At 42.6% G+C, this 26,454-nt stretch overlaps 1 protein-coding gene and 1 long non-coding RNA gene across 6 annotated transcripts in view, besides 2 other annotated features; both read left to right on the top strand.

Annotated features, from left to right (window-relative positions):
- Positions 1-15,244, top strand: part of ZNF599 (zinc finger protein 599) — a 49,529-nt gene extending 34,285 nt beyond the window's left edge. For 4 of the 5 annotated variants that reach the window (XM_047438256.1, XM_047438255.1, XM_047438254.1 and 1 more), the window contains 3 exons: positions 3,762-3,888; positions 5,906-6,001; positions 12,758-15,244. In XM_047438256.1, coding sequence (XP_047294212.1) covers positions 3,855-3,888; positions 5,906-6,001; positions 12,758-14,283 — 1,656 coding nt within the window. In that variant the 5' untranslated portion in view covers positions 3,762-3,854 and the 3' untranslated portion in view covers positions 14,284-15,244. Of the gene's footprint in view, positions 1-101; positions 494-3,761; positions 3,889-5,905; positions 6,002-12,757 lie in introns of those variants that run through there. The other variant, NM_001007248.3, reaches the window with a different exon arrangement.
- Positions 172-281: an enhancer, noted in NCBI's record as "active region_14452". NCBI's record gives its function as "activates an Ori minimal core promoter by ATAC-STARR-seq in GM12878 lymphoblastoid cells {active_cell/tissue: GM12878}" and the evidence as "EXISTENCE:reporter gene assay evidence [ECO:0000049][PMID:35858748]".
- Positions 392-451: a silencer, noted in NCBI's record as "silent region_10509". NCBI's record gives its function as "represses an Ori minimal core promoter by ATAC-STARR-seq in GM12878 lymphoblastoid cells {active_cell/tissue: GM12878}" and the evidence as "EXISTENCE:reporter gene assay evidence [ECO:0000049][PMID:35858748]".
- Positions 15,245-15,831: 587 nt separating the features above from the next.
- On the top strand, positions 15,832-26,433 carry LOC124904698 (uncharacterized). The gene is made up of 2 exons (XR_007067235.1): positions 15,832-15,870; positions 21,865-26,433. It is a non-coding gene; the product is annotated as an uncharacterized LOC124904698 (long non-coding RNA).
- Positions 26,434-26,454: the final 21 nt, after the last annotated feature.

The following is a 26,454-nucleotide window of genomic DNA, read 5'->3' as shown; positions in this document are numbered from 1 at the left end:
TACATTACCCAGAAGGCAGTGCTACAAGGGACGGAAGCCGACCCCAAGCCATAGACGGAAGGCGCAGAGGGGCGTTCCCGTAGCGGCGTGGGCGGGACTTCCGGCGTCCAGTCTTCGTCCGCCGTTAGGTTGCGGCTGCTGTGGTTGCCAACGCTACACTGGGTAGAACGCCAGACAGGGGCCACTTTTCGAGACCGAGTAGAGACGGACAGTGAGGAGGATAGGACCCACTTACACGCTTTTATGTCAGCCGCGATCCCACCCCCACAAGCGTCTGCAAAACCCTTCCTGGGGCCTTGGCGACAGCCCTGTGTCCTCACGGCGCGCAGAGGCGGCGCCGCGAACCTTGTGTGCATTTTACACGACGGCGGGGACTGAGGTCCCTCGCAGCCCAGAGCCGGAGCCCGGGGTCGGCCGAGCCCGCAGGACCGGCTTCCTCGCCGACTCTCACGGCCTCACCCAGCCCCCTGGGCCCATGGCGGCGCCGGCGTTGGTGAGTGGAGGGTTCCGCAGCCCGCGCGAGCTCGGGTCACCGCCCGCATGCACCCATCCGCTGTAATACGGCGGATGCCGGGACTCTGTGCTTCTCCCTTTTGATGCCCTAGGTTATGGAGATCCCGGGAGAGGGTGAGGTGAGAGGGCAGGGCTAATCACTTCCTACCCAGGGTCCTGAATCCAGGACAGGAGTTGTAAGGAGAGGTCCCTGTCTCTGGCTCTAACCTGGAGCTGTCGCCTCGCTGCCCTCGGCCTCCATTCCCTCGGGTCTAAAATGCGAGTCTCAGTAATTTTCTCTGTGGAGGGAGCTGGAGAGGGTACGCTTGTGACGTGGGTCCTGTCTTTCACTGCTCGGAGAGCATCACTCTAGGTGCCGTCTTTGAAGAAGGACTCTCTAGGTCCTGCTGTTGTTTTAGGGGATCATTCCAGCGGAAGTCTGGCCCTACCAAAAGCTGGGAGAGGGAATGAGAGCCTCGAGGGCAAGAGGTGAGGCGGGAGCAGCATTTTTGGCAGGAGGCTAGAAGACAAGAAGCTCATTGGATTTATCTTTGCAGATGCCGTCTGTTTATTACAAATGAATCTGGCTTGCCGCCTAACAGCAGTGAATCCGTGCTTCTGTTTAACACATGCTCTTGTATTTGAAAAGCAAATCCAGCACAATATTCATTAATGACAGTGTACATGAATGTATGTCTCTTGGAGTGTGAGCACATAAGGCCCCAAGTTACTCTCCAGCATGTCACACTGTTTACTCCTCGTAGCTCTGATCACCTTCAGGAGTTGTCTATTCATTTTTCCTCACCTGGTCTGTTCTCTAACTTCAATCTAACCTTGTTCCAGGGTCTCTTCAGAGAGAGCTTCCCTGGTTGCATCATGTAAAGTCTCTCCCAGTCTTTGTGGTCTTCTCACTCTTGTGTTGTTTTCTAGAGTCTTCTGACTTTATCTTGATTGTTTATTGCTGAGGATCTGTCCCCCAACCCCAGAATGTCAGCTTCTGTTCTGTTTTTCATCCCCAGGCCCAAAACTATTCTGTTCTGGGCCTGTACCACTTAGTCGATAAGTGATTAATGAATGAGATTCTATCCTCTGGGGCTCCCATCCTACTTAGATTTCATCTAACCCAACCCCACCCCATACCCCACCATGGCTGCAAAGTCACTGCCCAATCCACCAGGACACTCCCCCTGCCATTCTTCTCTCCTGCACATGCCAAGCTCATTGGACGATTTTCTCTGTCACATTGTCGCCAGATCTCTGCAAGGCTGCTCCTGGATGTGTGCTGCATTGAGCTCTCCTAGGGTGCGACAGGAGCAAATAGGAAAAATACTAACAGCAACAAATAGTAGCTGGTCTTCACTGAGCGCATTGATAATGTGCTGAGAGGCAGTTTCTGTGTATTACCTTATTTAACGCCCTTCTTCTCAGAGTAAAATTCTTTCATTTTCCTTTCTTTACAGAAGAGGAACCGGAGACTCAGATTAACTACCCAAGGTTGCATAGCTCATAAGTAACAGAAACAATCCAGTATGTCGAGCATAAAAGCCTACATTTTTTATTTATTTATTTTTTTTGAAAGAGGGTCTAGCTCTGTTGCTCACACTGGAGTGCAGTGGCCCCATCGCAGCTCACTAGCAATCCTCCCCACTGAGCCTCCTGAGTAGCTAGGATTATCGGTGTGTGCCACCACACCCAGCTAATTTTTTTTATTTTTTGTAGAGATGGGCTCACTGTGTTGCCCAGGCTGGCCTCGAACTCCTGAACTCAAACAGTCTTCCCACTTTGGCCTCTCAAAGTACTTACTGGCATGAGCCGACGTGCCCAGCCAGAAGCTTACATTTTTAACCAATATTTCACCCACAGTGGATTGGAGATCCCTGGGGGCGACAGCTGAAGTACACTTTGCAAGGGGAAGGTGCAGGCCTCTCTCTAGCAGGTGGACATTGGAATGAAGGGGTCTTTGGGGAACCTTCCCGGCAAAGGGAACTGCATGGACAAAGGCAGAGGCATGAGGAGACATAGAGTGACACCAAGGCTTGTCACCTGCTGACGTGTCTTGTGTGATCATCTGATGATCATCATGCCAACATCCCATTCTCACCCAGGACAGACGTGGTGCTTAAGGCAGCTGCCAGGTTCTTAGAGCCACAGCCTGCATTGCCCTTGGCCACTTGTGTTACCTGTACCTAAGGGAAATGTGCTAACCGTGGCTCAGGAAGAAAAAGAACAGGTTGGCGCTCATTGTGGGATATTCCAGGGAGTCTACAAGTCCCAGCTGCCTGAGGGCAGGGAAACTTTGTTTGAGCTCTCCCAAGCCCTAGGCAGTTGGCACCTCTTCAGGTGCCTCTTCTATGAGGCAAAGGAAGGCTCTGCTCTTCCTTCCATACCTCTGGCAATATTTTCAGGAGTGGCTGAAATTGTTTTAACTGTAAAAATTGTAGGAAGTATTTTTAGCCCTTGTCACTGTGGATTCACTGTGGTGATGGAGGAGTACAGGGGTTACACCCATAGATCCTGGACCCGAGGGATGTGGGTTCAAATCCTGCTTCTGCTCATTAGACATACAACTCTGAGTGACTTGACTCTGAGCCTCAATTTGCTGATTGTGAAATGGAGATGATGACATTTACATCATGGGCTATAGGATGACTATTGAAATTTACACACATTGTAACACATGCTGGGCACTGCAGTGTTTGCTTTATGAACATTTTCTCATTAATTTTCACAACAGTTCGGTGAAGTGGGAACTATTAATGTATTGATGTGGAAATTGGAGCTCCAAGAAATTAAGAGACTTCTCCAAGGTCACACATCTGGCAGGTTGGTTCAAGAGGCTGGATTTAAACTTCAGGAGCCTGATTCCAGACCTGGAGACTTTTAGTTGCTTGAACACAGCATGTGAAGCCCTCAGGTGCAGGCAAACAGTGCAGACCAGTGAGGCTCAGCTGCTGCTGCTGTGATTATTGTTTGAATTATTATTTTTCCCCATTCTTGTAATGTCCTAGGACATTACTGTCTGCTCCTCACAGTCAGATGGGATTATCATTGTCTTGTATCATTTTCCAATGGTTTCCAACATAGGAGGCTTTTCTGTCCCACATCTTTGTATTCTGTCAGCGGCACCATCTGCCTCCACAGAGCCCAGTGGTTCTCAGGAGTTGCTCAGTGGTTCAGGGTCTCTGGACCCTTTGCCAGTAACCAAGAAGTGAGCTGTAATTTCACCTAATAGCTCCACAGCCACCTGTCACCTCTGTTTGACTTCCCAGGCATTAGTATCATTTGAAGACGTGGTTGTGACCTTCACTGGAGAGGAATGGGGGCACCTGGACCTGGCCCAGAGGACCCTGTACCAGGAGGTGATGCTGGAGACCTGCAGGCTCCTGGTCTCACTGGGTAAGACCTCATTACCCTCCCATGTAGGGGACCCACAGCCTCTTTGAATCCACCCTTTCTAGGCATGGCTGGTCCAGGAGCCTCAGAACCCAACCTTCCCTGATCCCTGCAGCCTCAGCACGTTGTGGTCTGACCTCCTCTTGCTGGGTTTCCCTGTGTCTCAATCAAAGATTGTTATGTAAGAAACACAGTCCTCCTCAACACTTTTATCCCACTGTCTAGCACAGCTGGCCTCAGTCTGACATCTTTATCCCAGACTGCCACAAGAGGTAATTGGCCCAGCTTGGTTGAGTCAAATGTCCTCACAGCCCAGTTAGCAGGACCTGTGGATAATGGGAGGTTCTACAAGCAGCGGGTGATTGACACAGACACTAAGAAGGTGTTTGTTATCAGTGCTGCTTATATCTTTTTCAGCAACACAGTCTCAGCTGAAAGGTCTCTTTGGCTCCTAGCACCTGCACAGTTAACCCTTACTTCCTAAGGCCTGTGCCTTGCTCCTCTGCTGCTACAGGAGATGATTATGATTATGGAAAGGGAGCACAGACACATTCTCAAATGGCATGGATGTATGCTATCTGAGAAAGCTGTTCTTTTTTTCTTTTCTCTTTCCTGTCTCTTGAATGTTGAGTGTTGGCTTAGGGCTGAATCTTTAACACTCCCATAGCTGTTGGTGAATTTCCTCCTCAGTAGAAAGAGTAGCCTCAAACTCCTAGCCTCAAGCAGGCAGCAGGAACTTGCTGGGACCTGTTATCATTTTGATTTTGCCATTTTTATAGTAACCTGTCACAGCAAGGTAACTAATATGTGTAAAGTGCTTAGAATAGAGCTGGAAACATAGCAAGTGTTCTGCATGTGTTTGTTACATTTAACAAATTAATAAATACCAAATGCTCTCCCACCTAAACCTTTAATGGACAGTTTGCCCAGAAGTTGGTCTGAGTAGATATGAATGGAGGCCCAAAGTCTCACTTATTCCAGTTGTTCAAATGGTTACCATCGACAGGGCTCTCCCAGTCCTGCGTCCTCACGAGGGATGAGTCATTAATGAAGTAAACGTGGTGTTATTTTATGACAACTGTGATTAGTTGTCGAAAGGAGATGTATGGGGAACAGCATTCCAGGAGGAGGGACCAACATGAGCAGCATCCCTGTGGGAGCAGGGTGCTTGATTCCTTAACAGAGATGAAGGCAGGCCTGATTCCCCTTTAATGCTGCTCATCACCCAGCTCAGTGCCAAGCATATGGCAGAACATTTGCTGAGTGTGCATGTGGCATGTAAGTGTGCGTAATCCTATGGTGAACATTTGCTAAGTGACAGCTGGATGCGTGCCAGGACAAGATTTTCCAGTTGATGCTTCTGGGTCCTGGTGCCTCAGTCATTGACTTCTCTCCAGAGTCTTCTGTCTTAGCCTTCACAGTTGGCAAAATGTGTGTGGCTGCATGTGGAAGAAGACCACCTCCTGCCAGTTTCACCCTGAAAATAATTTCTTACTTTACCTAATGAGAAGCCCTGAGGTGCTGCTGACTCCTGGCTTGGTCAGTGCCAATCCATGCTAACCCAGTTCTCTGTCTGCTTTCTCTCCTTGGTCTAGGGCCCTGGCCAGTATCCTTGTGGGGCAGTAGGCCTCCATGTTCAGCTTCAGTCACTGGCCTGCCTCACACAACTGACTATCAATAGATGCCATTCATCAGGCGATTTAGTCCTGTGTTTTTCAACCATCATGGGCACCAAAATCACCTGGGGAGCTTTAAAAACTACCAGCACTCAGTCCTTCTGCTCAGAGATTTGGTTTAATTTGTTCTGTTTTTGGAACTGGGTGTTGCTAGGTAGTTTTGATGCACAGGGTGGTTGAATCCTACTGACTTAGGTTAATTAGGGAATACTTTTGGTGAGGCAGGGGAGGGCCCTTTCTGGGGTTTCATTGCAGTATGTTAAATATATGTACTCCTTTACACCTCAGACTTTTCTTTTTGTCTTTCCCTGTACACCATACTCCATTTGTTTCTCCATGCACAGGGCATCCTGTTCCCAAACCAGAGCTGATCTATCTACTGGAACATGGACAGGAACTGTGGACAGTGAAGAGAGGCCTCTCCCAAAGCACCTGCGCAGGTTGGTGACTGAGAGTCTGGCAGCGGGTATCAGGGCAGCCTGCAGACCACCCAGGCATCACTGTGTCTGAAATGCCATGGGCAGCTATTTTGTGGTCTTGAGCAGTCATGGAGCCCTTGACCCCATGGTCCCCCGTCTTCCCACTTCTGTCACACACTCTTTGCCTTTATTCAGGTTGGAATATGTTAGGTAGGAGACAGATTCTAGGCTTTAATGATTTGCCACTCACTAGCCTCATGACTCTGGAGAGGTTGTGTGACGTCACTGTGCCTTTGGTATATAAGTTAGGCTGAGTTAATGACCTTCTCTGAAAAATAAACTCCAAAATCATGTGACTCAACAGATTAAGTTTCGTTTTGTTTTGTTTTTTTATCCATGCCATAGCCCAATGTGGGTCAGCAGGAAAGCTGTGTACCCTGTATTTATTTATGGATCACATGCATTCTGTTGTCAATATGCAGCTTTAAGGTTGCCCCGGCCAAGAGGAATGGGAGAGAAGGGCAGTAGTCACTTCCATTAACATTTCATCCACAAGAACTGGGTATTAGGCTACATGTTGTATCAGGCTGGGAAATGTGGTTTAGCTTTTTTATACCCAAGGAGAAGAGCCTATGGGTATAGTGAACATATACTTATCTGATACACTTAGCCTACATTTGAAAGATAGTGATGATAGTTTCTGCATGACTGGGTTGTTTGGGAATGTGATCACATAGCAGGAAACTGCCTAGCACACTGCCTGACCCGGAGTGGCTCAACAGAAGTTACTTGTAAGTAATATTAATGTAGTGTTAGTCATAAGGAATAGTGATAGCTCAGACATTCTTCTGCATTCAGAAGACAGTCCTTTCTTTTCCTGCAGATTACTATTTCAAACTACACTCTGCATCCCACCATTTTTCACCTTCTCCAGCCCGTCATTTATTGATCCATCCATTCATCTTTTCATTTATGTATCAGATACGCAGAAGCACTCCCTAGCCCTGTTGTTTTCTGGCCCTCCTGTCTTCTAAAAACCTCAAGGTGATGATTGCCTTTGTCAGTCCCACATCTGGGCTGCCAGAGGAAGCTGGAGCCATCAAGCAGGTGGATTTGTGACACTGTAGATTCACCATCTCACCCCTCTAGTGTCCTTCTTGCCTGCTCAGTCAGCCTTCACCCCTCTCCCCTATTCCACATCTTCACTTGAATGTCTCAGAGGCACCTCACACTCATCATGCCTAAAAGGACCTCATGATCACCCCCATTTTCAGCTAATGCCTCTTTCAATGAGTGGAGAAGGCTAAAAACAAACGTGGACAACCCCTCAACACCTCCATCTCCCTCATACCCAATATCCAGCCATCCCCGAATCTTGACCATTTCACATCACTCATGTCTCCTGAATCCTCACCTTCACTAGTTTCCATCAGCTCCAGCATTAGTACTCTAGGCCAAGTGATCATCTCTTGCCTGCATAATGCTACCAGATTCCTCGCTGTTTTCCCCCATGTGCTCTGTGCATCTGGTCAGCCCTGTGTGTTATATCTGCATCCACTCACATGTTCCATGTATCACCGCCTCCCTTGCCACTGATGTCAGAGCATCTGACCTACTTTATGAATAAAGCCTACACACTTGATTTTCTTGCTTTTTGACACTTACTGATTCATGTTCATCTGACTTATCCTGCAGCTTCCTTCTCACTTCTGTGGAAGAGTTATCATCCTGGCCATGGCTAATTTCTCCAGCAGAATCTAGATTACACTTTCTGCCTTCTCAGGTGTATTAGCCATCTACTATTAATATGTAACAATATTACCACAAACCCTGCAGCTGAAAACATCACTTATTTATTATCTCCCACCTATGGATTGGGAGTCCAGGCACAGCTTAGCTGGGTCCTCTCAGGCGTGTCATAGGCAGCTCATAGCTCATCATCACCATCAGCTCACTTCTTCAAATCAAGCCACTGTGTGAGACTCCAGCAAGACGGATGTTCCAGTCTTATAAAATTACATATATTTTATCATGTACATTCCATCATCTTTGCCATATTCTATACTTTAGAAGCAAATCGAGGTCCTGCCAACATTTTAACAGGGGAACTACAAAAGGGTGTGAACACTATGACTTGGGGATCATGAGAAGCCATACGTGAATCTCTCAGCTGCATCAGGGAACATGCTTCTTCACTTACTTCCTACCTCTTCTATATTTTCATCCCCTCTCTACTCAACATTAAAAAAAAATGATGATGTTTCTGATACCTGGGGGAGACTTTTTTTTTTTTAGTGCTCTTACGTCTCCAGCAGCATCTACATATTGTTGACTCTATTTCACCTGAACAGCCAAGCTTGTTGGAGAAGTCTTCTCATTCTTTGAAGAGACATCTACACAAGACTTTCCTTTATTTATTTTTTCCCTTATTTTTGTACTGAGGTGCAATTTATACATAATAAGTGTACAAATCATAAAGTTTCATTTCTATAAAGTTTTATATATGTACAAGTCAGAGAAACCATCTCACAGTTCAAGAAATACAGTGTTTTCAGCACTTAACAGGCTCCTTGTGCTCATTCTTTGTCAGTATCCCCTTCTATAAAAGTAGTCAGTGTTTATACTCTATATCACCATACATTAGTTTTGAAGGCATATAAATAGAACCCCCTAGTACATACTCTGTCCTGACTTCTTTTGATAATCTTTATGACTCAGATTCATTCATGTGGTTGCATATAGTTGGAGTTAGTTCATTACCATCATTGAATGAATAGACTACATATACCCATTTTCCTATTGATGGACATTTGACTTGGTCTCCATTTTTGGAATATTATGAAGACTACTCTTATGAATATTCTTGATTGTATTTTTTGTTGGATATAAACCCATATTTCTGTTGGGAATATACATACAAGTGGACTGGCCAGATCAAGTGTGGGCATATGATTAGCTTTAATCGAAACCACCAGTTTCAGAGTAACTACACCATTTCACATTTCCACTAGCCACGTATGAGAGTCTTCATTGTTCCATGTACGCCTGAGCAGTTGGTGTCTTTCCCTTTACTCTTTGATGCCTGGTAGTGGTGTTTCTCAGCACCACAGCACTTAAAGTGTTCTTGCCCAGGTCACTGTTGCCATCCTGATTGCTAAATTCAACTATAATGATAATAGACAGTGGTCTACAGTTTACCAAACATTTATTCTTTGTCACACGAATGAACTTTTGTTTGGTTTTTGGGTTTTTTTTGAGACAGGATCTCACTCTGTCGCCTAGGCTAGTGTGCAGTGGCACAATCTCGGCTCACTGCAGCCTCTGCCTCCTGGGTTCAAGTGATTCTCGTGCCTCAGCCTCCTGAGTAACTGGAATTACAGGCATGCACCACCACACCTGGCTGAATTTTTTGTATTTTTAGTAGAGATAGGGTTTTGCTGTGTTGGCCAGGCTGGTAACTCCTGGCCTCAAGTGATCTTCCTGCCTCAGCCTCCCAAAGTGCTGGGATTACAGGTGTGAGCCCCCACACCCAGCCACAAATCAATATTTTGTATGCTTTTTCTCCTAACAACTTGTAGGCAGGAACTGAGAGTATCCCAGTTTTTCAGATGAGGAAAGTGAATCTTAGAAAAGTGTGTTAGTCTGCTCTGGCTGCTGTAATAAAATACTATAGACTGCGTGGCTTATATAGCAGAAATGTGTTTTCTCTCAGGTCTAGAGGCCGCAAGTCTAAGGTCAGGGTACCAGCATTGTTGGGTTCTGATAAGGGCTGTCTTCTCAGCTTGCAGATGGCCGCCTTCTCACTTTGTGCTCACATGGCCTTCCCTCAGTGCCTTCACTTCTTACAAGAAGTTTACCATGTTGGCCAGGCTGGTCTTGAACTCCCGACCTTCAGTGATCCGCCTGTCTTGGCCTTCCAAAGTGCTGGGATTACAGGCATGAGCCACCATGCCTGGCCCCCCTCTGACTTTCATAATTGTCCCTAGGTGTGCAGAATTAGAAAAATTATAAATAATGATTTATGACACATTGTCATCATTAGTCAATGCGTGTCCTGGTTTTTTGTTTTATTTTCTTTCATTGCATTTTATTAATATATTTATTCATCCTCCTTTAAAAAGATTGTAATGAACACCTACAAACCTTTCGCCAAGTACAAGAACATGACCTGCTTCCTGCATCTGTTGATGTGTTTCTTTCCTTTCCCATTCCTATGCTGCCTCCCTTGCATACATGGCCACTTTAAGATTTGTTATTCCATTGCTTATTCTGTAGGAAGATTCAGGTTTTTTTCATAAATATAGGCTATTCAGATGTTCTGTTTTTGTTTGTCCGTTTTGGTAATTTGAGTAATGTAAAATATTTGCCTACTTTATCTTTGTCTTCCCATTACTTTTTAAGATTGTTTCATCTCATAATGGTAAATTTTGTATTTTATCACAATAAAAAGTCAGAAAAATATATTTAACATATCTACATATCTTTTTATAATGCCATTTAAAACTGATAAACCTCAAAAAAATAAAAGGTTGTTACATTGTATTCTTGTGTGTGTGTATTTTGCTTTTTTTGAACATTATAAAAAGTGTATTGTGGTTTATATTGTCTTCTGGCATTTTCACTCTTTATTCAACAGTAAGTTACTAACATTCATGATGCATATAGCTGTAGTTCACTCATTTTTTTTCCTGCTAGAGTCAATTGCATGAATATAACACAATGTATTTATCCATTTTCAGGGAGAGCTTGAAAATGTTTGCTTATTGTTTTTTGTTATCACAAACAATGCTGCCATAATTCATATATATGTGTCCTCAGGCACATCTATAGGAGTTTCTCTTAGTAAAGTTCCTTGGACTGGCATTTCTGGATTATAAGATGAGCAAAAGGAGAATTTTACTAGATAATGCTCTGTTGTTTCCTAAAATGGTTATACCCATTTCACTTCCCTTGCCTTATCTGAATGATTTCATAGAACAACTTCCTCTTCAATAGTTGATGTTGTCCGGTCCTTTAGTTTTTTCAACCTAGCGAGTATAAAATGGGGCATCTCATTGTGGTCCTAATTTGTTTTTCCCCTATTACCAAGAAAGGTGAACACTTCTTATGTTGACTGGGCAATGTATGTCTTCTGTGAAATATCAGTGCATAATATGTTCATTTTGGGGTAGAGTGAAGTTCCCAACCATAATTCTGAGTTTATTTCTCCTTTCAACTCAGTTTTTGGTTCATGTATTTTGAGGCTCTGGTGTTTGGCACATACAGATTTAAGACGATTTTGTCTTCCTGGCGCCATGGTCTTCTCTTCATCTTGTGAAGTCCCTCTTTGTCTCATTTGCTTAGGTCTATAGTTTGCTATCTGATACTAATGTTATGTTTTTTATTTGTTTGCTTTTTTGTTTATTATATTTACTCTAGTCAAATTGACTACTCTTTTCATTTATGATTAATGCTTTTATATCTTGTTCTGGAAATCTTTCTCAAAAGATACTCATTTTTATTATATACAAAATATGTTTAATGTTTAGCTTCTGACAGTTGAGTCTTAATCACTCTGGAGGTAATTCTGTATGTGGTATGAGGTAGGAATATTATTTCATTTTTCTCCATGTGGCAAATAATTTTTCTAGATCCATTTATTGAATGGTTCCTCCTTTTCCCAATGGCCTTCTCTGCTGCTTCTATCATATATCAAAGTTACATATATACATTTCTGAGTTCTCTATTTCATTTTTCCCTTTCACCGTTTGTCTTATATCTATGCCTAATCACACTGCCTGAATGCATATAGTTTCATCATAATACTAAGTCCTCATAGGGTAAGGCCCCTGCTTTATTCTTCAGAGTTATCCTGGTCTCTATATCAGCTGACTGATCTCTATCCACAGTCAGCTTGTCAATATCTGTGAAAAACCCTATTGAGATTTTATCTGATGTTGTATTGAATTTAGAAGTGAATTTAGGGAGAACTGATAACTTTATATTGATTAATCTCTTTTCATATAGATCTTTAGTGTCTTAAGTTTTACAATTTTCTTCATGTAGATCTTACCTATTTTGTGTATGTTCACTTAGTCTTTATTCAGACATTGCAGACTCATTATGTTCATCTAGCTGGTTCTCACCCTTCTCACTTTTACACAGGTGAGAATCCTGAGAGTCTGTTTCTTCTCTGTCTCTGCCTGCCTTTCCATCCTCATCTCCATCATGTCATCCCATTTACATTACTCAGCAATCAGCATTCTCTCAAGACTTTCAGCCCTTGTACATTCTGTTTTCATCTGCCGAAGTTTCCCTCCTAATTCCTCTGTCTGGGAACTCCTACTCTCCTTTTTAAAGAAAGCCCACGTAGCTCACCTTTTCTTGGTGCTGTGATCCAAGACATCCTCTGATCCCTCTCTGTCTCTCATCTGGGCCATGTTAAGTGTATCCTCCCTACATTGTCATAGCACCATGAGACTGCCTCTGTCAGAGCACATTCATCACACACATTGTAATTATTAGTCTGCCCACTCTCCCTCATTTGGGAGAGTGAGGAGCGGTCTCCATTCCAGATTCTTTGCCCCCTGCCCTTGCTTTTCCTTCTGGGTTTCCTTTTAAAGATCTCAAGAGTCCAAGCATTAGGAAAGAAATTGCAAGCCTGGTTTTGAGAGATGTAAAAATGCAGTAGGCATCAGAGACACTGTTTTCACCTTCATTCTTCTGCTAAAGTGGTGATTTTGTTTGTTCTGTTGACATCACTAATGTTCAGTTTTTTTTATATTGGATTTCCTTCAGGTGAAAAAGCAAAACCCAAGATTACAGAGCCTACTGCTTCTCAGCTGGCCTTCTCTGAGGAATCCTCTTTCCAGGAACTTCTGGCACAGAGATCCTCAAGAGATTCCAGGTTGGGGCAAGCTAGAGATGAGGAAAAGCTAATAAAAATTCAGGAAGGGAACTTGAGGCCAGGAACAAACCCCCACAAAGAGATATGCCCTGAGAAGTTGAGTTATAAACATGATGATTTGGAGCCAGATGATAGTCTGGGCTTAAGGGTTTTACAGGAACGAGTCACTCCACAAGATGCTCTCCATGAGTGTGACTCTCAAGGACCAGGAAAAGACCCCATGACTGATGCAAGGAATAACCCTTACACATGCACGGAATGTGGGAAAGGGTTTAGCAAGAAGTGGGCCCTTGTTCGGCATCAACAGATTCATGCTGGAGTGAAGCCCTATGAGTGCAATGAGTGTGGGAAAGCCTGTCGTTATATGGCTGATGTCATTCGACATATGAGGCTTCATACTGGGGAAAAACCATACAAGTGTATTGAGTGTGGGAAAGCCTTCAAACGCAGGTTTCACCTCACGGAGCACCAGCGTATTCACACCGGAGATAAGCCCTATGAGTGCAAAGAATGTGGCAAAGCATTCACCCACCGCTCTTCTTTTATCCAGCATAATATGACTCACACTCGAGAAAAACCCTTTTTATGCAAAGAATGTGGGAAAGCTTTTTACTACAGCTCCTCATTTGCTCAACATATGAGGATTCATACTGGAAAGAAACTCTATGAGTGCGGTGAATGTGGAAAGGCCTTCACGCACCGCTCCACATTTATCCAGCACAATGTGACCCACACAGGAGAAAAACCATTTTTATGTAAAGAATGTGGAAAAACCTTTTGCCTCAACTCATCCTTCACTCAGCACATGAGGATTCACACTGGAGAGAAACCCTATGAGTGCGGTGAATGTGGAAAGGCCTTTACTCATCGCTCCACTTTCATCCGACATAAGAGGACCCATACCGGAGAGAAGCCCTTTGAGTGCAAAGAATGTGGGAAGGCCTTTTGTGACAGCTCTTCCTTAATTCAACATATGAGGATTCACACTGGTGAGAAGCCTTATGAGTGCAGTGAATGTGGAAAGGCTTTTACACACCACTCTGTTTTTATTCGACATAATAGGACCCACAGTGGACAAAAACCCTTGGAGTGCAAAGAATGTGCAAAAGCCTTTTACTATAGCTCTTCCTTCACTCGACACATGAGGATTCACACTGGAGAGAAGCCCTATGTTTGTAGAGAATGTGGAAAGGCTTTTACCCAACCTGCAAATTTTGTTCGGCATAATAGGATCCACACTGGAGAAAAACCTTTTGAATGCAAAGAATGTGAGAAAGCCTTCTGTGACAACTTTGCTTTAACTCAGCACATGAGAACTCACACTGGAGAGAAACCCTTTGAATGCAATGAATGTGGAAAGACCTTCAGCCACAGTTCATCGTTCACTCACCATCGAAAGATTCATACCAGAGTTTAAAAGATACAGGAAGGCCTATTACAAGTGTGTTTGTCTTTAGTGAACTCATAGTGGTGACATACCTTTCCTTTTGAGTATAACTATTGAGGGAAATATTTTGGCCAGAGAGATGTCTTAGTATCTGATAATTTATACTAACTAGAAACAGAATTGTCCCTGTGAAATCTTTTTATGGCAGGTAATCACTTGTCATCCAAAGAATTATATTAAAGATTCACCCAGTTTAGAGCCTTACACTGTACCTGAGAATAATCGAGGGGAGAGACCTGGTGGTTAACATGCATTTAGGTAAAATGTCAGGAACAACTTTCCTCTTATTAATACTATAAATCCATCTCAAGCATATTTTAAAATAATGAGAGATGGAGGAAACAATCTAGAAGATAAAAGAAAAAGATGTGCATAACTTGTTTTCAGTTTCCCTGTTTATGACAGTTTGTCATTTGGCGGGTTGGGGGATGGAGCAGGGAATAAGACATTGAAAAAGTCTCATCCCCTTTGTGTGTTTTACATATATATATCTCTAAGTCCAGAGCCAGGAGAGTTGGACCATTGAGGGCAGCTCTGCCAACATTTAGTAAAAGTATTCATTGTTCCAAAACTGTCATCTCTACCCTTGAGGGAGTGTGTCTTTGTGAGAAATATAAAGGCTTGAGTCATGAAATACTTAACACATGTGCACATGTACACATGTACATTTATATGCAGTGAATTGTTACTCGTGGTAGTTAGGTTCTGTGAATTTTCTGTGCACACTGAATTAGTGAATGCTGAATGATTGTTGCTAGGGGAAATACAGCGTTAGCTTCTGTGAGCCTCTGATCCAAACATTTTTATCAACCAGTCAACACATAACCTTCTTCTATGGGTATTTGTTTGTTTGTTTGTTTAAAGACACTTTATCAGTGTTTCTTGAATAATTATAATTATTCTTTATAATAAAAATATTTTAATTATAGCATGTTTGTGTAATGTACTCAGTATATTATTGTACTGCTTTAACTCTTAATTATGTACACACAGTACACATATACAGTATTCATGTACAATAAACACAGCAAACTGTACAGTATTCATAACAGTAAATGGTACTGTGAACACCTATACTATACAGTACAGTCGTGCCAATAAAGATAGTCCTGGGGGAAAAACATTAAAGATTAAAAAAAGATTAAAATTGTACTTTTGATGGAGCTGCAAGATGTGTGATGGGACAGCGCACTGTATGGTTAAACTGCTTGACTTTAACTTACCCCCAAAAAACTAAGGAAGAGGTTGATGCAACTTACTTTTCAGAAGAGGAAGGCATTACTGAGGGTGCCATATCAACATCTGGCAGTTTTACTTCAGGAGTTTGACTTTTGCCACTTGTTGACATCATCAGCAGTTTTCCCTCCTGAGCTGGCATGAAAAATTGCATCAGCCTTGTCTGGCTTTTCGCCTAAAGTGTTTTTATCTTTTTTGAGACAGGGTTTCACTCTGTTGCCCAGGCTAGAGCGCAGTGGAGTGATCACGGCTGACTGCAGCCTTGCCTCCTGGGCTGAAGCAATCCTCCCACCTGAGCCTCCCAAGTAGCTGGGATCACAGGTATGTGCCATAATGCCCAGCTAATTTGTTTTTTGTAGAGATGGGGGTCTCACTATATTGCTCAGGTGGTCTCAAACTCCTGGACTCAAGTGATCCTCCTTCCTCGGCCTCCAAAGTGTTGGGATTACAGGCGTGAGCCACTGTGCCCGGCTCCACCTCAGTGTCCCAGCATAAAGGAGTGCATTGGAGGTTAGGGGCTTAAATTTGAGGCTACATTCGAGCATAGGGTCACATTCTTCCATGTAATTGAAAATGTTTCCAGGGCAGGATTTCAGTTTGATATTTTTGCTGCTGTGAGAACAGTTCTTGGAATCTTAGGCTGACCTTCGTCACCATCTTTATCATCACTGACTTTGATGCCTAAATAACATTGCATACAGTGACTGGCTTCCAGTAGTCCAAAACGGTGGTTTCCTTGTTGGTGTTGAGAGCCTCACAAGCCTTGCTATAAAGGTCATTCATGTTGTGCACCCTGAAAGCTTTTAAGTATGCTCTGATTGAAGGGTTGTATGACACATGTGTTTGTGGCCATAAAAAGAATGTCTAGGTTGCAGTGGGAATTTTCAAGTTCTTTATGGCAATGAACTGGAGCATTATTTAAAATTAATTAAACTTTGAAGGCAAAGTTTTTGCCTTGGAGATAGCATTCAACTTCTTGGATGAAGCAGTTGTAAAACCAATCCCAGAATAGTTCTGAAGTCATCCATGCTTTTCTGTTCCACTTACAGTGGACTTGCATATGGCTCAGGTTTTTCTCTTTAAGTTCCTACGGATTTGGGGTTCTCTACACCATTAGTGGTTTGCACTTATAGTCACCATTAGTACTGATGCACAGTAGCAAGGTTGCAGGATCTTTGAATGATTTAAAGTAAGGGACTTTGGAGGCCATTTGTGCTATATAGATTCATTTTCTTTTAAAACAAGCCATTCTCATCAGTGTTGAAACCTGGTTTTTCACATAACCCTTTTCCTGTATAACATTTAGTGGATATTATTTAAATTCTTCCACAGCCCCCAGAAGAATTTGCCTGCAAGTTTAATACATTTTATGTTGTAGTGCCTTTTGAAATGTGTGAGTAGCCAGCACTAGCTGAGCAGGGTTAGCATTTTCCTTACTTAGGTATCGTGACCATAAATTTCTTTGGCTTTAAGACTCACAATAATGCTGTCCTCTATTCTTTTCTATTGGTCATCATCTGATTCACCCATAAATTTAGCCTTTTTTCATGTTTTCTATAACTTCATCATGCATTATGCATTATAGATGTTCCTTTTTATACTTTTAGGAGCTGCCTCATGTACAGACAGGTGAATTTCCTCCTCCTATTTCTGGTTGTATTGTGTTGTTGATTTGTAGACATTGAACTCTCAGACAACAGCAGTATAACTCATGACTGAATGAATCTTTTTTTTTTTTTTTTTTTTTGAATCAGAGTTTCACTCTTCTTGCTCAGGCTGGAGTGCAATGGTGCGAACTTGGCTTACTGCAACCTCCGCCTCCCGGGTTCAAGCAATTCTCCTGTCTCAGCCTCCCAAGTAGCTGGGATTACAGGCAACCACAACCACACCTGGCTAATTTTTGTATTTTTAGTAGACACGGGGTTTCACCACGTTGGCCAGGCTGGTCTCGAACTCCTGACCTCAAGTGATCCACCCACCTCAACCTCCCAAAGTGCTGGGATTACAGGCATGAGCCATTGTGCACTAAATGACTGAAAATGACACGACATTATGAATGCCGAAACAAGAAAGTAGGCATCACCTTTGACCTCAGCTGGTGACATGCAGGCTTGATGAATCATTTTTTTCATCACTCTGCACATGTCTGCAAATGACTGCAAAAATGCAAAAACCTCAAAGTATTGATTTTGGAGTTATAACAAAATTTTAGTAGGTGAATTCTCAAATATAGAATTCACAATCATATATACAGATAGCAGTTTAGTTTTCTACTCATTGGGAAGAGCTGAAGACCCCATCCTCCCTCACAGTGACCACCTCTGCTGTAGCTGTGGCTGTACCTATCTTGAGCCTGGTGGCTAAGAGCCTAGATGATAGATTGGGATTTCGGATCATTTAGTGTTTCCATGACCCATTGGGTGACCTTGGCCATGCACTTCTCCATGGAGCTGTGTTACTCTCTGTAAGAGTAGGAAGGTGGACATTAAACACATGGGAAAATGAACCTACAGTCTGTTAGGTGATATGCAGAACCAGGAAGCATACAGGAGTCCCGAAGAGAGAACCACATATCCAAGACCTCAAGGGTGACAAGAGCTTGGACTGTTGGAGGATACAGCTCAATGTAGTGTGGCTTGACAGGGAGAATAGAAATTAATGATGGAGTGGAGTAGCAGGCCATATGCACAGATAGGGTACCATGAAATTTGGATTTAATTCTAATTGCTATGTGAAGTCATGGGATGATTTTAGCAGATACACAAAATTTTTTTTTCCTTTTTTCTAAAAATTTAACAGTTGTATGTTTTACACTTGGGTCAGAATTTCTCAACCTTCTAAAGCTGAGGTCATTAATTTGAGACCTTTCATTCTTTTTCTAATATAGGCCTTTAATGCTATAAATTTCACTCCAGATACTGGTTTAGTAGCATTCCATAAATTCTGACATAATTTTCAATCAGTTCTAATAATTTTTAATTTCCCTTTTGATTTCTTCTTTGATCTATGAAGTTTGATTATGGTCTGAGAACATACTTTGCATGACTTGAACCCTTTTCTATTTGTCGAGGTTTGTTTTATGATCTGGAATGTGGTCTATCCTGGAAGAATGTTTACACATTATTACTGAAAATAGTGTGCATTCTGATCTTGTTGGGTGTTCTATAAATGTCAAGTAAGTCAATATGGTCGAGAGTGTTGCTCATGTCTTCTGAGTCCTGATTTTCTACTTGTTCTGTCACTTATGTAGAGAATGGTGTTTTCTTTTTTAAAAAAACTACTGTAATTATGGATTTGTCTATTTCTCTTTGCATATCTATCATTTTTAAGTTCTTTCATTAGGTATATAAATATTTAGGTAATAGTCTTTGTTCTGAAGTTAACTTTGTGTAATATTAATACAGCCTCTCTAGTGCTCTTTTGCTTACTATTACAATGGTGTATCTGTGTCCTTTGATTTTTTTTTTTTTTTTTTTGAGACAGAGTTTCGCTTTTGTTGCCCAGGCTGGAGTGCAATGGCGCAATCTCGGCTCACCACGACCTCTGCCTCCCAGGTTCAAGCGATTCTCCTGCCTCAGCCTCCCAAGTAGCTGGGATTACGGGCGCCTGCCACTACGCCCTGCTAATTTTGTATCCTTAGTAGAGATAGGGTTTCTCCATGTTGGTCAGGCTGGTCTTGAACTCCTGACCTCAGGTGATCAGCCTGCCTTGGCCTCCCAAAGTGCTGGAATTACAGGCATGAGCCGCCACACCCAGCCATGTCCTTTGATTTTTAATTAATTTTTGTCATTATATTTAAAATGGTTTTCTTGTACGAAATATTATTGGATCTTGCATTTTATCTACTTTGAAAATCTCTGCCTTTTAATTAGGTCATTGAATTTAGTGTGATTATATTGCTGGGTTTCAATTTATCATTTTGCTATTGGTTTTTCTCTTTGTTTAATCTATTCTCTTTATTTTCTCCCCCGACCCCACTTCTGCCTTTGGATTGAATATTTTGCATGATTCCTGTGTTGTTAGAACTATTTAAATTGTGTGCTCATAGGACTGTCAGTCAGGTGTAGGCAGAGGAGGAAACGCAGGAGAGGCTTGTCAAAGAACAAAGTTTTATTATACTTACAGGTCCTAGAGAGAGAGTCATTGCACACCAAGGGAACCAAGGGGGCACAGACAGCATCAAGGAGGCTGGCTCAACTGAGCTGTTAGGGAGCCAAGAGAATGAAGACCTATGGGGAAGTGCCTTTATTGGCAGCCAGGATGGAGTACACAAACAGCACAACAGAACTTGTGGCAGGGCCAGCCTAATCACACTGGTATAGCTGGCTGGGGGGCTCACAGCCTGTTTGTGGGGATACCGAGGCAGCAGGAAAATACAGTGCTTTAAAATTTACATTACAGTTTGCCCTGTGGTGCCTCAACATCATTACAATACTAATCGGATGGATAACACTTGCCACCTGGGTTGTGATGTTAAAGGTGCCTGGGACAGCATGACTTAGCCACTGAAGGTAAACTTTAATAAAGGTAACAGCTCAGAAGAGTCCTATTAGGCATATGATGAGGGTTTGGTATCCAGTTTGTAACACGGCATCCCACTTTGTGGAGGAAAGCCAAGAGAATGGGCCAGGCACCCCTGGATTTAAGGGAATCTGTTGGAATATTTGGCTAAGTCATGAAAAACCTTTACCTTTTGACCTGTTCCTCATAGTTGGCCTGTACCTGTCCAGAGTTATTAATGTACATACAGTAGGAGGTATCCTGAGTGGCACAAACTCCTCCTTCCCTGGCTAATAGTCAAGAGCCAGCCTGTTATCTATTGCCATTTGAGCTAGAGACTCATGGGCTTGTTGTATTAAGGACAGTATTTTGTACAGCCTTTGAATATGATCTGAAAGGGCCACGTAATGACGCTGCTTGGCAGTTATGATTTGATCTTATTCGACAAAGCCTGCTGTATTGGTGTCAGCAGTGGTGGCTCCTGTGCCTATGGCAAGTCCTATTAAGATAGGGATAAACACTGCCCATTTTGCCTTGTGTCTTTGGGTTAATGGAAACAGGGAAGTACCAAGTGGACAAAGAACCATGGCAATCCCCAGTGTAAACACTATTTACCAGATTTTATTAGGGAAAACATCCAGGGTGATTGGCAAGGAAAAATACATAAGGTGCTGTGCCTGTGATTTCAAGCCACAAAAAAAACCAAATGTGCCATTATTCAGAGTATAGTGTACCCATGAGAGTATCATTGTAAGGAGGGTGAAGGCCTCGGGGTGGGGAATTGGCCACTGCTGGTTGGCTCCTGGGCACAAGTGGTAAGCCCATAGGTTAACTTGGTCATAACATGTAGCCATCCCTGGTGAGGAATGAAGGCAGGTGGTAGATTTAAGCAAATGGCGCTTTGGGAGTTTTTAAATTTGGTTATATGGTATTATCCAAGACAGTAGTTCTGAAATCTTTAGGGTCACTAACAATATCTTGGTAGTGTTATTAAGTGCATTAGAAACATGTTCAGGTCAAAGTGACAAGTTTGGCAGTTGTAATGTTGGAAGGGTATGAAATGATAGGTATATGTAAAGGTTAGTGGTATTTGTGTGTGATCAAGGGGAAAGAGTGATCATAGTAGGAGATGCAAGGTGAGAGTAGAAAAGGCATCAGGGAGTAAATGGTACTCTTTCTAGGGGGAGAAGGGGTTGACTGATTTGAGGCAGATGCCTCCCGAGGAAAGCAGTAATTTCCACTAATTTTTAGAACGGCATAGATAGTAGTAACCTCTACTAGATTTCCTGTTAGACATGGAAGTGTAGGGTGTACATTTTGGCAAAGAGCAAGGAATATACCAGAATCATAGGTTAGGCAGACAGCAAGCTCAGAAACATAGTAGAACCTTTAACATCCAAGGGAGAAAAGCATAAATACCCCATGTTTAATGCATGCCTTAGGAGAGGCACTCCATAGGCACCACTGGGACAGAGGTTTTCATATCTGGGGTGAAGTTGTCCCTGGCACAAGAGGTAAAGTCATCTACAATGGCAAAGACTTGGGCTGGGGCAGTGTCATCTCCAGCAGTGAGCTTCTGGGCAAGGGTGAAATCATCTGAGATGTGGGACTTGGGTGTCCTTTTTAAATGGGTACCCTCTCAAGTTGATGTGCAACTCAGCATTTGCCATGTTTGGTTGAGGCTTATTTGGGGAGTTTAGACCTCTGAATTGAAAACCAGTGAATCATCCCAATCAGCAGTAAGGAGACCAATAGTTACCAGAACAGTGTGCAGTACATTCAACAGATCTTCTGTTTTTGTTTGTGGAAGTCTAGGCTCAAATGGGTGCCATAGCAGATGAGTAGCTGCCTGAAGCATGGGACAGTCTCTATGGTCATTGAGTCCAAGGAAAATAAGCACCCTCGATCCAGCCTTCCACCCTGTGCTCCTGGAGAAAAATGGATGCAGCTATGATCTATCTTGCAAAGACTGTGTGTGATGGCAGAGCTGCTGAGGTACCCCACAGGTAGCCTGAAACAGGAGTATTGTGTTCCTTCAGAAATGAAGGTGAACTGTAGTTGAGAGGCTATTGAAATGGGCCTGGAACAGAACACACTCTCCAAATCTATAAAAGCAAAATATTTGCTCATTATTGATTTAATAGAATCAGTAATTTTAATAATATTAGCTGTTTTGTATGGGGGCCCTAATTGGTAGGAACACATTGTTAAGGTTATAGTAATGCACCATGAGGCACTTTACCCTTTTTTTATCCCCCAGGTTTAACAGGCAAGATTGGGATATCAAATAGAGAAGCAGTTGGGATAATTGCCTTTTTATTAATTAGGTTTAACCCTTGAAGGCCCTGTTGTACCCTATATTGGACCAGATTAACTATTTTAACTGGGTATTCATGGGGTCCCATTTTATCAAGCCAGTTTGTAAAAGACCTACCTTAATTTATGATTTATGTTAGAGCATCTATGCTCCAATATGGGATATATTAGGGCAATGGGTATTATGACTTGGGAAATATAGGCAAGGCTACATTTAAAGTGAGGCATTCCTACTTTTTCTCTATTTTATATATAGTGACTTTCTTAAGATAGGAGAGGCACAATGCTTAAATTTAATGGGATCCCCCGGTATAACTGTAATTTGAGCTCCAGTACTGATTATGTCCATGGAGTTTTGTCATTGGGTACATTTTAGCTTCTTTTAATTTCAACCTGATAGACCTCCTTTAGCCTTTTTTTTTTTTTTTTTTTTTTTTTGCAGAGCAGGTCTAGTGATAATCAACTCCCTCCACTTTTGTTTATCTGGGAATATGTGAATTTCTCCATAATTTTTCAAGAACATTTTGCTGAATATAAAATTCTCTATTGACAGCTTTTTTTCTTCACCCTTTACGTTTATTGACCCACTTCCTTCTAGCTTCCAAGGTTTCTGATGAGACACTGGCTAATAGTCTTGAGGATCCCCTATATGAGAGGAGTTGCTTCTCTCTTCCTATTTTCAAGATTATCTGTCTTTGGCTTTTGACATTTGATTATGTGTCTCAGTGTGGGTCTCTTCACAATTCTCCTGCTTAGAGTTCATTCATGGTGAACTCTTGCTGGGTTGGCAAATTCATATCTTTCATCAAATTTGGAGATTTTTCAGCCATTATGTCTTCAAGTATTTTTCTCTGCCCCTTTCTTTCTTTTCCCCTTCAGGGATTCCCAAATTGTTGTTGTGCTAAAGTTCCAATCCTCATTCTTTTTTATATTGATAATTTGTATTTTCCTGTTTTTAAGTTTGCTGAATCTCTCCTCTGATTGCATGTCTTCTGAATCCCTTTATTGTATTCATATTTTGTTTCCATTACTGTAAATTTTGATCTAGAATGTTTTTTGTTCTTTTTAGAAATCATTTTATCTCTTTATTTCTATCCTCATTTTGCTCATACATCTTTTTCCTTTGTTCATGTCTTTAGCTTTTTAAGCATCTTTAAGACAGTTGTCTTTTTCTGGCGAGACTGACATCTGGGTTTCCTCAAGTATGTTTTCCCTCCATTCATTTTGTTCCTTTAATTGGGCCATACTTTTATGTTTTTTTGGCATGCCTTCAGGTTTTTGTTGTTGTAGAAGACTGGGCATTTGAATCTTACCATGTGGTAACTCTGGAAATCATATTTCCCGCCACCTTTCCCTGGATTTGCTGCATTTTTGCCTCTGTTTTCATTATTATGGGATAATTATGTGCCAGAGATCGGCCTAAAGTGAAAACTGAAGAAGGTCTTTTCAGTGCTTGCATCTTTCCATGGGCATGTGAGGTGGCTTTCTGAATTCTTCCGTATATGTAGTTGTTTTTGAAGACAAACAAAAAAATAGGTGCAATTCTTTTATATCTGTGAAAAGACACTTCATCCAGTGGGGGTTGAAACAATGATGACTAGCCTACAAGCCCACAAGATCAGAAGCACCAATCCACAGTCAGAACACAAAACCTCAGTATCTGTGGGATAAGGGACTTATTGCCCACCCTGGCTCCAGAAATCTGCACCAGAATGACATTCCCATCCCCAAAGCTGCTTGCCATGGAGCTGGGAGTGAGGAATGTGTAGCCAATACCACTCTGATGGCTGCAATCAACACAAATTGTAATTTATTAGGCAAGCTGGAAATTACAAGCATTCAGGTAAACTCTGGAGTTCCAACATAGTTACTTCAGAAAGATGCCAGAATAGTTTTTCAGGTACAGTGGCAGATTCGTGGCACTTCCTATTTGGTCATTTTCCCTGAAATCATACTCCACATATTTGGTTTTGTAGTATTTTATAGTATCTGAAATAATATGTCTCTAAATATTTATGTGATCTGTTGCAGGCAGTAAAATATGGAAAACTGGGTACTCACCTTTAAGAAATGAAGTACCACTCTCTTCATAAGAGTCTTTTGATGCTCATTCCTAGTGGCCCTCTGGGTGCTACTTAGCCATTGCCTCGAAGAATATGAAGAGCTACATTACCTAGAAGGATGTGCTTCATATGCCCAAATGAGAGCCTAGGACAGGAGTGTTTCCTGCAGCCTGCATTATTGTGGCCTGCACTATTGGCACTGCTACAGTGGACTTTCATTTGTCACATGACCTGTCTGACCACACCACCCAGGGGGAGCAGGTGACTCTTTGGGACCAAGCTAGGAAGGCCAGTAAGGAGGATAGGACTCATCTAGACACCTTTGTAGGGCCTAGGAGAGAGTTCAGCTGAGTGAAGTACTGATACAGTCGCCTCCCTCCTAGCACAGGTGTGTTAACTAGTCTCACATTCTTGGACTCTCAACCACATGGCTGTGGCATGCTGACATGGAGGATCGTGGCATCCTGGGATTCTTCAGGCCTTCTCTTCCTGCTGATAGGGTCACTCTCAGTCCAGAGTCCTAGAATTAAATCAAGTATTACAAAAGAAAGTTCCTCTTTCTTGGCAATTGGTGGTATGTGGTGGGGAAGTATGAACTATAACTTCTTAGTATCCCCCATTCATGTACAGTGGCATGTGCAGATCCTTGGGAGAGGCATGGCCTGCAGAATCCAGAGACATGTTTGGATCATGCTGTACCCTATCTCAGGGCTGTGGCCTTGTGCAAGCTATCTTGCTATCCTTCACCTCCATTTTCCTCAAGGAAGGCTTAAAGGGGAAATATTAACCATCATTCTTTCTAGATGAGAGTATCAGAGATGGCTAATGTGTGATGTGTGTTCCCAGTGCCCAGCACTGTGCAAGGAACATCCCTCTGGATGCTATTTCTAGGGAGATACATCCTTAGGCCTATAAATCTGCCCTCTACTCCATCTTCCTTTGCTCACTGCTCTCCTGCCAAGCTGTCCTGATCATTCTAAGCTCTTTCCCACTTCCCAGTGTTTCTCTCTGCCTGGGACACTGAGTCCAGATCTCTGCAGTGCCTCTCCCTCTCCTCTCCTCCTTTGCATCCTTCCCTGTTCTGCACCAATGTCAATGTCACCTACTAGGAGAGTCTTTTTTTTTTTTCCCTTTGGCCTTGCTAGCTCTAGATTAAGTATTTCTCATCTTCTGGAATCTTTGTGCAGAGAATGTGGCACACTTACAAAAGTAGAGATCAGGACTTGGTTCGGTTTTCCAGGGTGGTGTGGAAGCAAAGAGGCTAAGTAACAATAATAACTACATTTATTGAGTTCTGAGGGTAACTTGTTATGTAGCACTTCATTTAATCCCAATTTCCTCAGAGTTAGGTTCTATTATTCCTGCTTTACAGAAAAGGAACCTGAGGTTTGGAAAACTTAAGTTATCTTCTCAGGGTCACACAACTCTTGGCGGAAACTCACATCCTGTATGTTGAGCCCTTGAGCCTTTGTTCTTTCTTCTTCTTCACCACCATTCCTCCTCAGTGGGCTGGGGAAGCCTGAGGTGATACCTGACAAAGATTTCTCTTTCTTTCACCAAACTCTAGCTAGGCCCCTCTGAGCCTTCTTTAATAGGCCTGTCAACTTTTGCCTATTAAGACTTGAACAACACTAACACTTTCTAATAACTTTTAAAGTGCTGGCCTGAAAAACTCAAGGCTGTCCAAAGAATTTCTTCCAGCCAACACCTGAAGATAAGACCCCTGTCTCACAGTCTCTGTGGGAGGATAGGATCCTAATTCAAGTGCCAGTAGCAAACCCAGATAGACTGCACATAGACCAGCCCCCTCCCTTCCTGTGTTTTGTAATTTTTCACTTTTCTGACTCTACTGAGCCCCTCTTCTCCACCCCCTCCCTATTTCCTCACCCTTCCTTTAACATACTCATTCACCTCTGTACAAATCAAAGCTGGGTTCAGTTCATGCCAAATTCCTTTCCCCATTGCAATAGTTATTACCAATTAAAGTCCGTTCTCCCCACTGTCATAAATGTCCAGCTTTGTTCAT

Source organism: Homo sapiens, chromosome 19 (assembly GCF_000001405.40).
Source record: "Homo sapiens chromosome 19, GRCh38.p14 Primary Assembly".
Lineage (NCBI taxonomy): Eukaryota > Metazoa > Chordata > Mammalia > Primates > Hominidae > Homo > Homo sapiens.
The sequence above is the reverse complement of the archived record's forward strand: the minus strand, read 5'-3'. Positions and strand labels throughout refer to the sequence as shown.